This window comes from Homo sapiens, chromosome 5, assembly GCF_000001405.40.
Source record: "Homo sapiens chromosome 5, GRCh38.p14 Primary Assembly".
Classification (NCBI taxonomy): Eukaryota; Metazoa; Chordata; class Mammalia; order Primates; family Hominidae; genus Homo; species Homo sapiens.
The window spans coordinates 78,721,900-78,737,062 of NC_000005.10; the positions used below are offsets into that span (position 1 = coordinate 78,721,900).

Genomic DNA, 15,163 nt, shown 5'->3' on the forward strand with positions numbered 1-15,163 from the left:
ATTTGAACCCAGCTAATCTGGTGCCACGGTCCGAGTTTTTCAACAGTAAACTATGCTGCTAGTAAGAACACCCCAAACCACACAGAAGAAATTGTGTCTAAAAGTAGAGTGTTGACTTTACATGAATATTTGTGTTAAGTATTAGGTCACAAGCTAGGCTGTAACATGGGTTCCCACTTAAAGTTACTTTCATAGGGTCCCAAATATTTTATCATAAAGCCAAAAGAGTCAATCTTTCCAAGTTTTGTTTTCCCTAAAGTTATCTTCCTTCTAGAGGTGAGAGGGATCCCCAGTGTATACTTCCTTCTAGGAAGAAGAGAGTCACTGCTATCACTGCTATGTGTCACTTTTTTTTTTTTTTTTTTTTTGAGACAGGGTCTTGCTCTGTCACCCTAGCTGAAGTGCAGTGGTGTGAACATGGCTCTGTGCAGCTTTGATCTACTGGGCTCAAAGGATCCTCCTGCCCCAGCCTCCTGTATAGCTGAGACACAGGCGAGTGCCTCCTTGCGTGTCTAGTTTTTGGCTTTGTTTTTTGTAGAAACAGGGTCTCCCTACATTGCCAGGCTTGTCTCAAACTCCTAGGCTCAAACAGTCCCCCCACCTCAGCTTCCCAAGTGCTGAGATTACAGGCATGAGCCACCGCACCTGGTTAATGTGTCACTTTGAAATCAGCTGTTTCTGCAAGAACTGTGAAAGAGTCATCATAAAAGACTAAATTGGCTGGGTGCGGTGGCTCACGCCTGTAATCCCAGCACTTTGGGAGGCTGACCTGGGCAGATCACGAGGTCAGGAGATCGAGACCATCCTGGCCAACATGGTGAAACCCCATCTCTACTAAAAATACAAAAATTAGCTGGGCACAGTGGTGCATGCCTGTAATCCCAGCTACTCAGGAGGCTGAGGCAGGAGTATCGCTTGAACCTGGGAGGCAGAGGTTGCAGTGAGCCAAGATTGCGCCACTGCACTCCAGCCTGGCAACTAGCTAGACTCCATCTCTCAAAAACAAAAAACAAAAAACAAAAAACAAAAAGACTAAATTAGGGCCGGGTTCGGTGGCTCACGCCTGTAATCCCAGCACTTTGGGAGGCCGAGGAGGGCGGATCATCTGAGATCAGGAGTTCAAGACCAGCCTGACCAATGTGGAGAAACCCTGTCTATACTAAAAATACAAAATTAACTGGGCATGGTGGCTCATGCTTGTAATTCCAGCTACACGGGAGGCTGAGGCAGGAGAATCACTTGAACCTGGGAGGCAGAGGTTGCGGTGAGCCAAGATCATGCCATTGCACTCCAGCCTGGGCAACAAGAGCAAAACTCGGTTTCAAAAAATAAAAATAAAAATAAATAGAAGACTAAATTAGAGTTTGGGGAAGAAAAAAAACCCCTAAGTTATAAAATCACAAATCCCGGGCAATAAGTTAAATCCTTCCAATCCTCCCCTTCTTACTTTGGTTTTGAAATATTTCTTTCATTTGTATCAAAAAGCACTCTCCAGACCAAAGGCTGTCACTGCCAGTGAGTCAGGTATATTCCTAACCCTGTTTTGTGGGACTCTTCAGTGCCTTCTGTCTCCGAGGAGACCCCATCCCATCCCAGGGCCCATCTGGAAACACATGTCTCAAGTGAGCCAGATTTAAAATAGGTTTAAGTGTGAACATTTTCACCTCTTAACTTTAAACCATGCAATGAGATAGAAAACAGTATGTTTGTAAGTTCTCCATCACATGAGAAACAAACTTTGATGACCACCCAGCCAACAGGGTTTTAGAAAAGCAGAAGTTGTAGTTTTGAAAACATTAAGATGCTTATTTTAAGAATCAGAAATCTAGGCCAGGCACGGTGGCTCACGCCTGTAATCCCAGCACTTTGGGAGGTCAAGGTGGGTGGATGACCTGAGGTCAGGAGTTCAAGACCAGCCTGGCCAACATGCTGAAACCCAGTCTCTACTAAAAATACAAAAATTAGCCAGGTGTGGTGGCAGATGCCTGTAGTCCCAGCTGCTCAGGAGGCTAAGGCAGGAGAGTCACTTGAACCCAGGAGGCAGAGGGTGCAGTAAGCTGAGATTGCACCACTGTACTCCAGCCCTGGTGACAGAGCAAGACTCTGTCTCAAAAAAAAAAAAAAAAAATTTAAGAATAAGAAATCTTACTTTATGCATTAAATAATCACTGGTCACAAAATAAAATTCAGAGTTATTATTTCCCTAAGTCCTATAACTATAACCTAAGTTCTCTAGATGGTAGTTTTGACATGTGTGGATGTCTTTATCAGTTCTGCAAATCTCTCAAACATCTGCAAAGCAGTTTTAATGGAATGTGATTGTGTGTTGAAAAGCAGTGTATAACTTCTCCAGAAATTTTGTCCTAATGCTCTTAGTCTCAGGCCTTCTCTGCAAGACCCTTTGTAATCCTTTAGTGGAAATGAATTTCTATTGGTGGTTACTTTCATTTTTTTCAAACCATACAGATGCTAATAAGGATTTGCTGCTTGCTTATTTAAAGAACATGATTAAGCCATTTTAAAGTATCTTTGTGGGCCAGGCACCAGGTGTTTTGTTTTGTTTTGTTTTTGTTTTTTTCATACACTTGGGCGGGGGGGGGGGGGGGATGGGGGTGGGGAATGGCTAATTCCAAGGAAACAACATGGTTAGCAGTGTCATAACACATATTTGCAAACAGCATTTTTCTGAATGTTGTTTATTATGTAAACTAAAGGACCTTTGTTCTGCAGTAAAATAGAGCAGATAAGTAAATCACTGTAGAAAATCAATTTCTAAATGGTTTCTTAAAAATAAAGTTTTAGGCCAGGCATAGTGGCTCACACCTGTAAATCCCAACACTTTAGGAGGCCAAGATGAGTGGATCATGTGAGGTCAGGAGTTTGAGACCAGCCGGGCCAACATGGTGAAACTCCATCTCTACTAAAAATACAAAATTAGCCGGGCATGGTGGCACATGCCTGTAATTCCAGCTACTCAGGAGGCTTAGGCTGGAGAATCGCTTGAACCCGGGAGGCAGAGGTTGCAGTGAGCTGAGATCGTGCCATTGCACTCCAGCCTGGGCAAAAAGAGCAACACTCCATCTCAAAAAAATAATAAGAGGAAGAAAAATAGTTTCAGGCCAGGTGTAGTGGCTCATGCCTATAAGTCCAACACTTTGGGAGGTCGAGGTGGGAGGATCGCCAATGATCTTGAGCCCAAGAACTCAAGGCTGCAGTGAGCTATGGTCATACCACAGCACTCCACCCTGGGGCGACAGAATGAGACACTGTCTCAAAAAATAAAGTTTTAGTCAATTTATGTTTTATATTTTAATTGTAGAAAATGTTAAAAATATAAGAAAACATTAAAATTACTCATAACCTCACCTCCCAGAAAAAGAATTAACATTGTGTTTCACTTTTGTCCCATATATACATGCATTTTTAAAATCTGTTTTGTGCCCTGAGTTCTGCTCAGGTTTGTCCCTTTCTCTGATGATCAAGGCTTGGTACGTGAGTCAAGGTGGTCACCCCAGTTGCCATCTTCTCTCTGGATAAGTTCATTCCTTACAGGATGCTCAGGCTCTCATTCAAACTTCTGGTGGGCCTGCCCCAGCAGTTTCCAGAAAAGCCCAGGCATTTCTGAACTTTATTTTGTATTTATTTATTTATTTATTTATTTATTTATTTTAAGACAGAGTCTTGCTCTGTCACCCAGGCTGGAGTGCAGTGGCATGATCTTGGCTCACTGCAGCCTCCATCTCCCAGGTTCAAGCAATTCTTGTGCCTCAGCCTCCCAAGTAACTGGGATTATAGGCACGTGCCGTCACACGGGGCTAATTTTTTGTATTTTTAGTAGAGACAGGGTTTCACCATGTTGGCCAGGCTGGTCTCGAACTCCTGACCTCAGGTGATCTGTCTGCCTCGGCCTCTGAAAGTGCTGGGATTACAGGCATGAGCCACCACACCTGGCTATGAACTTTAGCTTGGACTCAATCTGGACCATGCTCCCATGCCCTGGTCCCCAATATTCTTTGTGAAGAAGGATAACAGAAACATGGCAGCTGCATTCTAATATTGGAAGGGTGATTATGGAGCAGAAGGGGCACAGAGGCTCTTTGAAGCTCTAGGGGACAAAACTAGGTTGGGTGGAAAGTAGAATAGCTTACTTCAGAAGCAGAGAGTTCTCTGCCCTTGGCAATATTCACTTGTGGGGATGGCTGTGGGATCGAGCATGGAAAGCAGAGATAGTCAGTGACAGTGTCCTTGTCAGAAGGTTCTGTGACCGTATGTATTTCCAGGGTTGACTCTGTATCTACATGGCATGATTTATGGGTGTCCTGAACATTCTTTTTTCTTTTTTTTGAGATGGAGTCTTGCTCTGTCACCCAGGCTACAGTGCAATGGTACAATTTCGGCTCATTGCAACCTCTGCCTCCCAGGTTCAGGTGATACTCCTGCTTCAGCCTCCCAAGTAGCTAGGACTACAGGTGTGTGCCACCTTGCCCAGCTAATTTTTGTATTTTTAGTAGAGACGGGGTTTCACCATGTTGGCCAGGCTGGTCTTGAACTCCTGACCTCAGGTGATACACCCACCTTGGCCTCCCAAAGTGCTGGGATTACAGATGTGAGCTACCGTGCCTGGCCAATGGTGTCCTGAACATTCTGCCTCCACATCAACAATCTTGATCATGGCTGTAGCCACGGGGCCCAGGACGGGGCCTGGCACATTGCAGGCACTCAGTAAATGTTTGTTGCAATGAATGAATGAACCAACCTGGCTGCAGTGGCTGCTCCTTTGCTCTCCACTTTTAGAGACTATGGACCAGCAGACATGCTGGACTTTGACCAGGGCCTGGTGGGAAGTGCTGAGAACTGCTGGCTTCTTATTTCACAGAATTATCCATTTTCTGTTGTTTCTTGGGAGGGCCCTTGGTCTTAGCTTTCACACAGTGGTATGTAGAATGAACTGGGAGACAGCCAATTTAGGCTTTTTCATCTACCAAACAAACCAAATCCATAACATTTGATTTGATGGATGGAATCCCCGGTGGATGATTTCACTCAGCCCTTTAAACAATGGAATGAGACCACTGGCCTCCTGCAGACTTTCTCTTGATGGGGGGTGAGGGAGGAGTGGTGGTCTGGAATGGGGAGATAAGTGGTAAAGGATGGAGGCTGGGTGCAGTGGCTCACGCTTGTAATCCCAGCACTTTGGGAGGCCAGGGTGGGCAGATCACGAGGTCAGGAGATAGAGACCATCCTGGCTAACTTGGTGAAACCCTGTCTCTACTAAAAATACAAAAATTAGCCAGGTGTGGTGGTGCACACCTGTAGTTCCAGCTACTCGGGAGGCTGAGGCAGGAGAATCACTTGAACCCGGGAGGTGGAGGTTGCAGTGAGCCAAGATTGCACCACTGCACTCCAGCCTGGGTGACAGAGCAAGACTCCATCTCAAAAAAGAAAACAAAAACAAAAACAAACTTGGCCGGGTGTGGTGGCTCACGCCTGTAATCCCAGCACTGTGGGAGGCTGCGGCAGGTGGATCACTTGAGGTCAGGAGTTCGAGAGCAGCCTAGCCAATGTGGCGAAACCCTGTCTCTACCAAAAATGTAAAAAATTAGCTGAGTGTCGTGGCGGGCTCCTGTAATCCCAGCTACTCGGGAGGCTGAGGCAGGAGAATTGCTTGAACCTGAGAGGCGGAGGTTGCAGTGAGCCGAGATTGAGCCCCTGCACTCCAACCTGGGTGACAGAGTGAGACTCCATCTCAAAAACAAACAAACAAACAAACAAACAAACAAAAAACCCTCTACAAAATGGCATTTTAGGACTTTATAATATTAATATTTTTGGCTGCTTTAATGAGTATGAGTAGCTGTTCCATAAGCAGATACTATGTCACATAGGGTAGATTTCAAGCCACTGCTTTAGAAGATGGTATGCTTGAATTGATTGTACACCTGAGGACTGAAGTTGAAACCACCAGCTAGAAGTGAATGCTTTTTGCTTTGTCATGGGCCAGTGGACTTTGCCTGGGAATCTCCCCTGAGCTGAGGCCAGCAAAGGTTGCACTCTGAAAGAGTATGAAAGGGTGGCGATATGTCTCATTGGTGAACCAGGTAATGGAAAATGCCTCTCCTCATCCTGCACAAGAATGCCAAACATCAGCCACAGTGCTCCCTTTTCTTTTGTACCAGTGTGGTTTATAGAAACTGGACAGTATCAGTGGACATTTTCTCTGGGCTTTTAAGGGGAACACATTGTATCTTGAGGCATTTCATCTGCAGAACCTGTACTTAGAACAAAGAAAAACTTCTGCGTGCTCGGTAAACAAAAGATGCCCAGTTTCCCTTCCCCATATTGCCAGCTGCCATGACACACAGTTTGGCCTCAGCCCACTCAACCACAGGTGAATTTGACCACAACCATACACCCTCGCAACCTACCAACTACAGTGACCTAGAGATAGCACTTTCTAAATGTAAAATGTCATTAATATGAGTGTTTATTGTCTAGCAATAAAGTTATGCCTATCATCAAAGTATCCAGGATCCAGAGGGAATGGAATAGGGCAGTAATTTTGAATCTGGTTGTGATAAAAGCCCAAAGCTAGACAGGCAAGAGGAGCGTAAGTGGCATGGCTTTAGCCTGCGTACTCTCAGGGTCTTATCTGCTGTCAGCCAGGTAGGAGCCTGTGGCTTTAATTCTACCTCCCCAACTTCCCACCTCACCCCCAGAACTAAACTGCCATCGGTCTCATATACCCTCCTCTGTCCCCAGTGACTGAAGTCACCTCCAACCAGGCTGTGACTACCAGCCTTCCTTTTTCCCTTCATGATTTTTCCAAGTGAAGGGACTAAATGAAAATATAAAGCAAGTCTTGTGATTTTTCTGAGGCTACATAAACTACCTGCCTCATTCCAGTGAGCTCTGCAGGGGTGTAACCTCCATTTTAACAAGGTTATGATATACTAACCCTCACCCCATCACCCCACAATTCTCTTCTCTCACCATGGACTAAATATTTTTCTTTGTTCCCCCAAAGGAAGCTTACTCCGTAAAGATTTCTGAAAAAAAAAAAATTTTTTTTAAAGGAAAATGTGCCAGGGCAGAGATGGAGGAGGTGGTAGGGCAGGCTGGGAGGGTGGGGTAGGGAGGTCCACAGGCCTCCCTGTTCACATCACACAGAACGTCCCTTAGAAAAACCCTCTAGAGGCCAGGCACAATGGCACATGCCTGTAATCTCAGCACTTTGGGAGGCTGAGGCGGGTGGATGGCAAGGTCAAGAAATCAAGACTATCCTGGCCAACATGGTGGAACCCCATCTCTACTAAAAGTACAAAAATTAGCTGGGTGTGGTGGCGTGTGCCTGTAGTCCCAGCTACTCAGGAGGCTGAGGCAGGAGTATTGCTTGAACCTGAGAGGCAGAGGTTGCAGTGAGCAGAGATCGTGCCACTGCACTCCAGCCTGGCGACAGAGCAAGACTCCGTCTCAAAAAAAAAAAAAAAAAAAAAAAAAAGAAAAAGAAAAAGAAAAGCCCCCTAGACATATCTCTCCCCACCCCCACCCTCCATGTCCCCTGCCTCCGTCTTCTGAAAGCTCCCTTTGCATCAACATTCTAACCTTTCCCTTCATCCCAAACTCCCCATCCCGAATACCTCATCCCTTCTCTCATGCAAAGTAAGTTAGTTCCTGGGCCTGCAGAGACAAGATGACTTTATGGTTCATAAACAAGAGCTCTCCCAGCTACCAGGAGCCCCACTAGTGGAAACATTTTAAATACCTGATCATTTTCCTGGGTTTAAAATTTTTTTTGTTTCGGTTACCTGCACAAACTCATCCAGACAAATTGTACATGGCCTCCCTGGAGGTCCCCCTTGCCAAGCTGAGCCCACAACTTTGATGGTGGCAGCTTCTCGCTATGCCACACTGATTTCTGAAATGAGCTCGAGTCCACAAGTGGACCCCCACTGACCCCCCAGGTAATACACCCCTCAGTTCAGATTCAAAGCTTTTGGGGACCCCACTCACGGGTGGCTTCTAGGTACGCAGCCTTCGTGGCAGCACAGGCCGCATGGCTAGAATGCTCCTGCCTGTGGTTTAATCCTCTGCTGTTGCCATCTTTAATTTTTAATTTTTATGGGTACATAGTAGTTATATATATTTATGGGGTATGTGAGATATTTTGATACAGGCATACAATGCATAATAATTACAACAGGGTAAATGGGGTATCCATCACCTCAAGCATTTATCATTTCTTTATGTTATGAACATTCCAATTATACTCTTTGTTATTTTTAAATGTACTATAAATTATTGTTGACTATAGTCACCCTGTTGTGCTATGAAATACTAGATCTTATTCATTCTATTTAACTATATTTATGCACCATTAACCTTCCCCCCTTTCCCTCCCCTATCCACTACCCTCCTCGGCCTCTGGTAACCATCATTCTATTCTCTATCTCCATGAATTCAATTATTTTGGTTTTTAGCCCCCACAAATGAGTGAGAGCATGCAAAGTTTGTCTTTGTGTGCCTGGCTTATTTCACTTAACATAATGACTTCCAGTTCCATCCATGTTGTTGCAAATGACAGGATCTCATTCTTTTTTATGGCTGAATAGTACTCCATTGTGTATATATGCCACATTTTCTTTATCCATTCATCTGTTGATGGACACTTAGGTTGCTTCCAAACCTTGGCTATTGTGAATGGTACTACAGTAAACATAGGAGTGCAGATATCTCTTTGATACACTGATTTCCTTTCTTTGGGGTATATACCTACTGCTGTTGCCATCTTGAAATTCTTAAGAATTTTGAACAATTGGCCCTATATTTTCAGTGCACTTGGCCCTGCAATTATGTAGCCAGTCCTGTCCACATATGGCCATCCTAGAAAATCTCTCTTCCTTCAAAGCAGTTTCTCCACAGCTCCCCACCAGCCTTAACCTCTAGGCCCATCTGCCTTGGCCAGCTGGGCCCCACTCACTGTAGGGTGCTGGGCCTGTACAGATGGTGGGGACTTTTTCTCTAACAAAGCCACAGAAACTAGGGTCCCTGAGGGGGAGGTGAGGGGAAGGAGGCAGGGAGGCTTGAGAGAGGTGTCCCTGCAGTTATCCATCTGACAACATGCCAGTTCCAGAGATTCCCCCAGTAGAGAGAATTCCTTTCCAACTGTTCTGAAAATAAGAATATTCCTGAGAGGGCCAGCCCCCGCCACAGGATTGGTCTCCACCCTGCTGTGAACACGTCTGTAAGCTGTTGTAAGCTGACTGGTAGCGGAGATCCTGGTACAGTAGGAAGTCTGAAGGAAGGAGAAGGATATTTTGGCACTTGGAGGAGAGGAAATTCAGGAAGGAGAAATCTGGCTGAGGGGCGACAGAGTGGGCAGTAAGACAGGGGAGAGAGAATAGAGGGGACTGCAGGGGGAGATGCTGGAGAAGTGTTTCTTCTACTTCACAATTTTGCTGGACTCTGAAGACAAAAGCCTTGATGGGTAAAAGGGCCTGTATTAGCTTCCTGTGGCTTCCATAACAAATTACTGCAAACTGGGTGGCTTAAAGCAATAGTAATGTATTCCTACAGCAAGAAGTCTAAAGCGCACACAGTGTCAGCAAGGTGGGTCCCTTCTGGAGGCTCTGAAGGACAGCATCTTCCAAGCCTCTTCCCTGGCTTGTGGAGGCTGCCTGCCTGGCCAGCTTTACTGTTCCTCGGGTTGCTGACACCCACTGCAATCTCTGCCTCCTGTGTGTCTCTGAGTGTCAAATCTCCCACTCCTTTATTTTATAAGGACACCAGTCATTGGATTTAGAGCCCACTCTAAATGCAGAATGATCTCATCTCGAGAACCTTATCTTAGTAATATCTGCAAAGACCCTATTTCCAAATAAGGTCATATTCACAGGTATTGGGCATATATTCTTGAGAACCTAAGTCAACCCACTATGGGGTCTTTAGATTTTCAGTTTCCATTTGCCTTTTATTCAAGCTTTACTTGAACTGTTGAGCTTTGGATTTCCACTTGATAGAAATACTGAAATCCTGAGACCTTTTATTAATGAATAATAGCAAAACCTCTGCAAATTCGAGGCAGTTTAAAATCATGTCCTTCGAGAGACTCTGCAGGATCTCCTAGCATCCCAGGAGAATGGGAGGGAACAATAGCAACATGCCTTTGATCTCTTCAGTAGGAAAGTTTCAACAGGAGCCAAGGCCTGTGCTTTAATATTGTTGTGCATTAGTCAGAACATAGATATGTGAGTGTTTACAATCTTGAGACATAAGTGGAAAAGTAACAAGAATGTGGCTCTAAGAGATACTCACCAAAATAACTTGTTTGTTGAAAAATAGGGAAAAATCTAACACAATATTGGTGAATAAAACTTCTAATGAGTGAACCCCATTCATACTCCTTTCCCATGCTTTTAGGGAAACATAAATTATATAGAAATAGTACTACAGATGAACAAATGGAAGTTATGTATGATTTCTAATAATTAAAGAAAGGTTCCGTTATCTTGGGAGATTTGGCATTAAATCTAAATTATTAATATAGGAAGATAACCATATTAAAAGTTAGGGGTTTTTTTCATCATTAATCTCCACCAATTTAAGTTATTTCTCTTCAAGTATCATCATGGCTCAGATCAAGCCTCCAGAGTATTCTGCAGATTTGAGATGGAAACTTCTTCCTTCTAATGACAGGCTTCTCTCTATTTAGGATACCAGAGAACCTTTCATTTCTCTTTTTTTTTTTTTTTTTTTTTTTTTCGAGATGGAGTCTCGCCCTGTCACCCAGGCTGGAGTGCAATGGTGTTATCTCGGCTCACTGCAACCTCCACCTCCCAGATTCAAGTGATTCTCCTGCCTCAGCCTCCTGAGTAGCTGGGATTATAGGCTTGCACCACCACACCTGGCTAATTTTTTTTTGTATCTTTAGTAGACACAGGGTTTCACCATGTTGGCCAGGCTGGTCTTGAACTCCTGACCTCAAATGATCCGCCCGCCTCCACCGCCCAAAGTGCTGGGATTACAGACGCTCATGCCTGGCTGTTTCATTTCCCTTTTTTTATGTTCAGAAAAATCTGAAACACCCAGTGAGCTCGCTCATCCTAATCACATTTCATGACCAGTAATACCACCATGCAATTAACTTAATAAATGGTTTTCATTTAAAAAGTAGAAAGAATAGTTAACAAAATTATAAAAATGAATAAAGGGAAGTCGCCCTACCGGACAATACATCTCACAGCTACAATTCTTACAATATTGTAGCACTATCACATAAAGACCCACATACATGAATGAAATGGAATTACAAACGTTGACTTCAGTAATTTATATAATAAAGGCAACATTTCAAATCAACTAGATAGCCATCAAGAAAAAGGATATTTGCACCCCTACCTCATATCTTAGAGTAAAATTAATACTGAATACAGCAAAGGTAAAGATGTAAAAAAACGAACACATATATATACGTGCATGTGTTCATGCGTGCACACATGCACACACAGAGTGGAAGAAAACATGGGGAAAATTTTATAATTTCAGAGTGAGAGAGGCCTTTTCAAGTATGACAAAAATCCAGAAGACTAAAAGAAAAGAGAAATTTAACTACACAAAAATAACTTTTTTGCATGGAAAAACCATCATAAGCAAAGTCGAAAGGTAGATAATAAATGGGAAAAAATGTTTATAGCTCACATCACAAACAAAAGACTAATTTCCTTTCTCTCTTCCTCTGTCTCTGCACACACATACACACAACCACCTACACACTTTTCTTACAGAGAAAGATCTAAAAACCAATAGAAAAATGGGCAGAGGCTATGGAGACAATTTGCTAAAGAGGAAGCAAACACTGAAAAGATGTTCACCTCGTTCATAGATTTTCATATGTGTAATATGATTTGAAAGTACAATTCAATTACATTTCAAAAAGAAGTTTGTTTTCAAAAACAAACAAAATGCCATGTTTAACTCATCAGATTGGAAAGGCGAAAAGACCTTGAGCATATATCCAGTTTGCTCTTTATAACAATGTGACTGACACTATTCCCACCAAGATGGAGTTCCCTCCCTTTGTGTCCCCTCTCCTTACACCTGGGTGGGCTTGTTAACTCTCCCCACTGGATGGATCGTGGAAGGGATACTATGTGACATCCAAACACGTCTTTTTATAAGGATGCCTCCTTCGATCACTTGCCCCAGGCATCTTTCTTGCCTTCCCCTAGCCCTGGACATGCTTCTAAAGTCTAGACCATAAAAAGGATCTAGCTTCCACCTGGCACTCTTTCTGTCTTCCAGGTACTCTCTGGAGCCCTGGGCTCCCATGTAAGATGTTTGGCTACCCTGACGTCACCAAGTTGAAGAAACCATGTGGAGAGACCACAAAGAAATAGAAATAGAAAGAGATACCTGAGTGGTCCCAGTGATTCCATCACTGAGAGTTTTGGCCTGTGCACCAGAGGTGTAAGTCCTGTACCAGATATGTGAGGAAATCTTCAAAGTTACCCATCTGAAAAGCAACCTCCTCTGAGACCCCAAACCAGAACAGTCCAGCCAAGCCGCCCCTGCATCTGGAAACTGTGAGAGATGAGAAATAACGATTGTTGTTTGAAGTCACTAAGTTTTGGGGTGATTTGTTAGGCACCAATAGGTAACTAATGCACATACCCATATAACTTGCTGCTGGTAGAGTAAAGTGCTACATCCTCCTTGAAGATTAGTGATTTATTAACATCTAATCAAAATAACACATACATAAGCCCTTTCCCCAGACATTCCACTTTTAGAATTTTCTTGGGCTGGGCATGGTGATTCATGCCTGTAATCCCAGCACTTTGGGAGGCCAAGGCGGTTGGATTGCTTGAGGTCAGGAGTTCAAGACCAGCCTGGTCAGCATGGGGAAACCCCATCTCTATAAAAAATTTTTTAAAAAAGAAAGAAAGAATTTTCTCAACAAATATACTCACACAAATGCAAAGTGACATATGTACAGTATTATTTATCACAGCACTATTTCAATAGAGATTATTGGAAACAACCTAAATATGGGCCCGTTTTAGCAAATTTTCATTCCACAGATTATTGTGCCATCTAAAAGAGAATGAAGCTATTCTTTGTATGTTTATATAAAAATAAATCTCCAACTTTAATGCAAAACAACAAAAAAGTAAGGTGCAAGGCAGTGTGTATAGCACAGTCGCAATTGCAAAAGAGAAGAAAGAAAAAAATATTTGTCCATAATTGCATGAATATGCATAGATTATCTTAGCAGTTACACAATGAAATTTCTACATCCATTGCCTGGGGAAGAGAACAGAAGACTAAGAGATCAGAGTGGGAGGGCAGAGTTTCACTGTGTGCTTTTAGTACCTCTTAATTTTATGCCAGGTGAATATATTATCTAATCAGAAATAAATAAATCAGATTTACTTAAAAAATAAATTTCTATCAATTGTTTCCACTTTTACTTAACACTGGACTTTTAGATATTAGGGCTGGATCGTCAATCTGAGGTACATGTCATGCAGACAGGGAAATAATAGGAAGAGGGCAGTTCCCTGGCAAAGCCCCACCCTCAAGCCTGAAAACCCACAGCCCTCAATGAGAATAGGCATTCCTGTTTTCATGCCCCAAAAGTTGCCTTTTGGCCTGCCATGCCCCTATCTTGTACCCATATAAACCCTGAACCCCAGGCTCTGGGGGAGATGAGCAGACAAACAGCAGAACGCATGGCAGAGCAAGAGAGAAGAGAAGGAGCATCTGAATGCTGAGAGGAGTTTGGCTAGGGATGATCACAAAACAGATTGGCCACTGAACAGCCAAACTCCAGGGGAAGATCATCTTCCCACTCCATCCCCCTTTTAGCTCCCCATCCATCCCACTGAGAGCTACCTCCACCACTCAGTAAAATCCCCGCATTCACTCTTCAAGTCCGTGTGTGACCTGATTCTTCCTGGATGACAGACTAGACCTGGGTGCCAAGAGGGTCCACTGAGCTGTCTAACACTTAAGCCATTTGTGGACAGCAAGGTTAAAAGAGCGCATTATAACACACGCCCACTTGCGCTTCAGGAGTCACAGACACCCACCCCTACCTAGATGCTGCTGTGGGGCCAGAGCCCAAATGTGCTCACCCTGGTTCCTGCACCTGCCTGTCTGCATGCTCCCCCTCCTGCAAGGGGTTTGAGCTCATGGAGGCTGAACAGAAAGCCACACCCCTGTCACACTTCCTGCAAGGAGGGCCAGGGAACTCTCCTGTCTCACATACAGTCCTGAGGATTCAGGAAGATTTTTCCCCAGGGTGTATACACATGGGCTAGGAGGTTAAAGGAATTGGCTTCTAGATGCAGAATGTCTATAAAACTCATTAGTCTGGGAAAGCACCTTGCTGGTTCTTCCTCCTTTTCCCTCTCAGCCTTTCTTCTCTCACTTGACGGAAGACAAGAGTACCTCTCACCTGTCCTGCATTTTATTCTGATGCATTGCTCCAGGCCAGGAAGAATTTTGGGAAGCCAAATAAAGAAACAATTCAAACAATTCAACATTTGTTTGTTATTTTGCTTTAAGATTACTTTGGAGATTTATTTTCATCTCATCATACAAAGAATAGCCTCTTTCTATTTGGATGGCACATTTCAAAATGTTGGCATTGATCTTGAGAAAGTGAACAACGTGAAAGATTGGGAAATACATCTTTTTGCAGATCAGATTCTTGCAAAAGTAGTTTGTAGGCTTTTGTTTTCAATAAAATTAAAAGAGGACCCATTGAATTATCAGCTGGAAGAACATTAAAATTATTATTTTGAGACAATGTTTCACTCTGTCACCCAGGCTGGAGTGCAGCGACACAATTGGCTCACTACAGCCTCAACCTCCCAGGCTCAAGTGATTTTCCCACCTCAGCTGCCATGCCCAGCTAATTTTTGTATTTTTTAGTAGAGATGGGGCTTGACCACGTTGCCCAGGCTGGTCTCAAACTCCTGAGTTCAAGTGATCCTCCTGCCTCGGCCTCCCAAAGTGCTGGGATTACAAGCATGAGCCACTGTGCTTGGCCATAAATTATTATTATTATTGTTGTTGTTGTTGTTGGGTTTTTTTGAGACAGAGTTGGACTCTGTAGCTCAAGCTGGAGTACAGTGGCAAGATTTTGGCTCACTGCAACCTC

General features: G+C 43.7%; 1 long non-coding RNA gene across 3 annotated transcripts in view, besides 4 other annotated features; it reads right to left on the reverse strand.

The window, feature by feature from the left end:
* Window positions 1–15,163, reverse strand: part of LOC124900191 (uncharacterized) — a 115,042-nt gene that overhangs the window by 64,141 nt on the left and 35,738 nt on the right. The window contains exon 4 of one of the 3 annotated variants that reach the window (XR_007058833.1): window positions 11,008–12,576. The exons of the other annotated variants lie outside the window; for them this stretch is intronic. This is a non-coding gene — a long non-coding RNA (uncharacterized LOC124900191). Of the gene's footprint in view, window positions 1–11,007; window positions 12,577–15,163 lie in introns of those variants that run through there. 3 annotated transcript variants of the gene reach the window in all.
* Window positions 5,887–6,181: an enhancer, noted in NCBI's record as "tiled region #2428; HepG2 Activating DNase matched - State 5:Enh". NCBI's record gives its function as "activates a minimal TATA promoter and a strong SV40 promoter by Sharpr-MPRA in HepG2 cells {active_cell/tissue: HepG2}" and the evidence as "EXISTENCE:reporter gene assay evidence [ECO:0000049][PMID:27701403]".
* Window positions 5,887–6,256: a biological region, named in NCBI's record as "Sharpr-MPRA regulatory region 2428".
* Window positions 6,147–6,256: an enhancer, noted in NCBI's record as "active region_22714". NCBI's record gives its function as "activates an Ori minimal core promoter by ATAC-STARR-seq in GM12878 lymphoblastoid cells {active_cell/tissue: GM12878}" and the evidence as "EXISTENCE:reporter gene assay evidence [ECO:0000049][PMID:35858748]".
* Window positions 14,044–14,123: a silencer, noted in NCBI's record as "silent region_16125". NCBI's record gives its function as "represses an Ori minimal core promoter by ATAC-STARR-seq in GM12878 lymphoblastoid cells {active_cell/tissue: GM12878}" and the evidence as "EXISTENCE:reporter gene assay evidence [ECO:0000049][PMID:35858748]".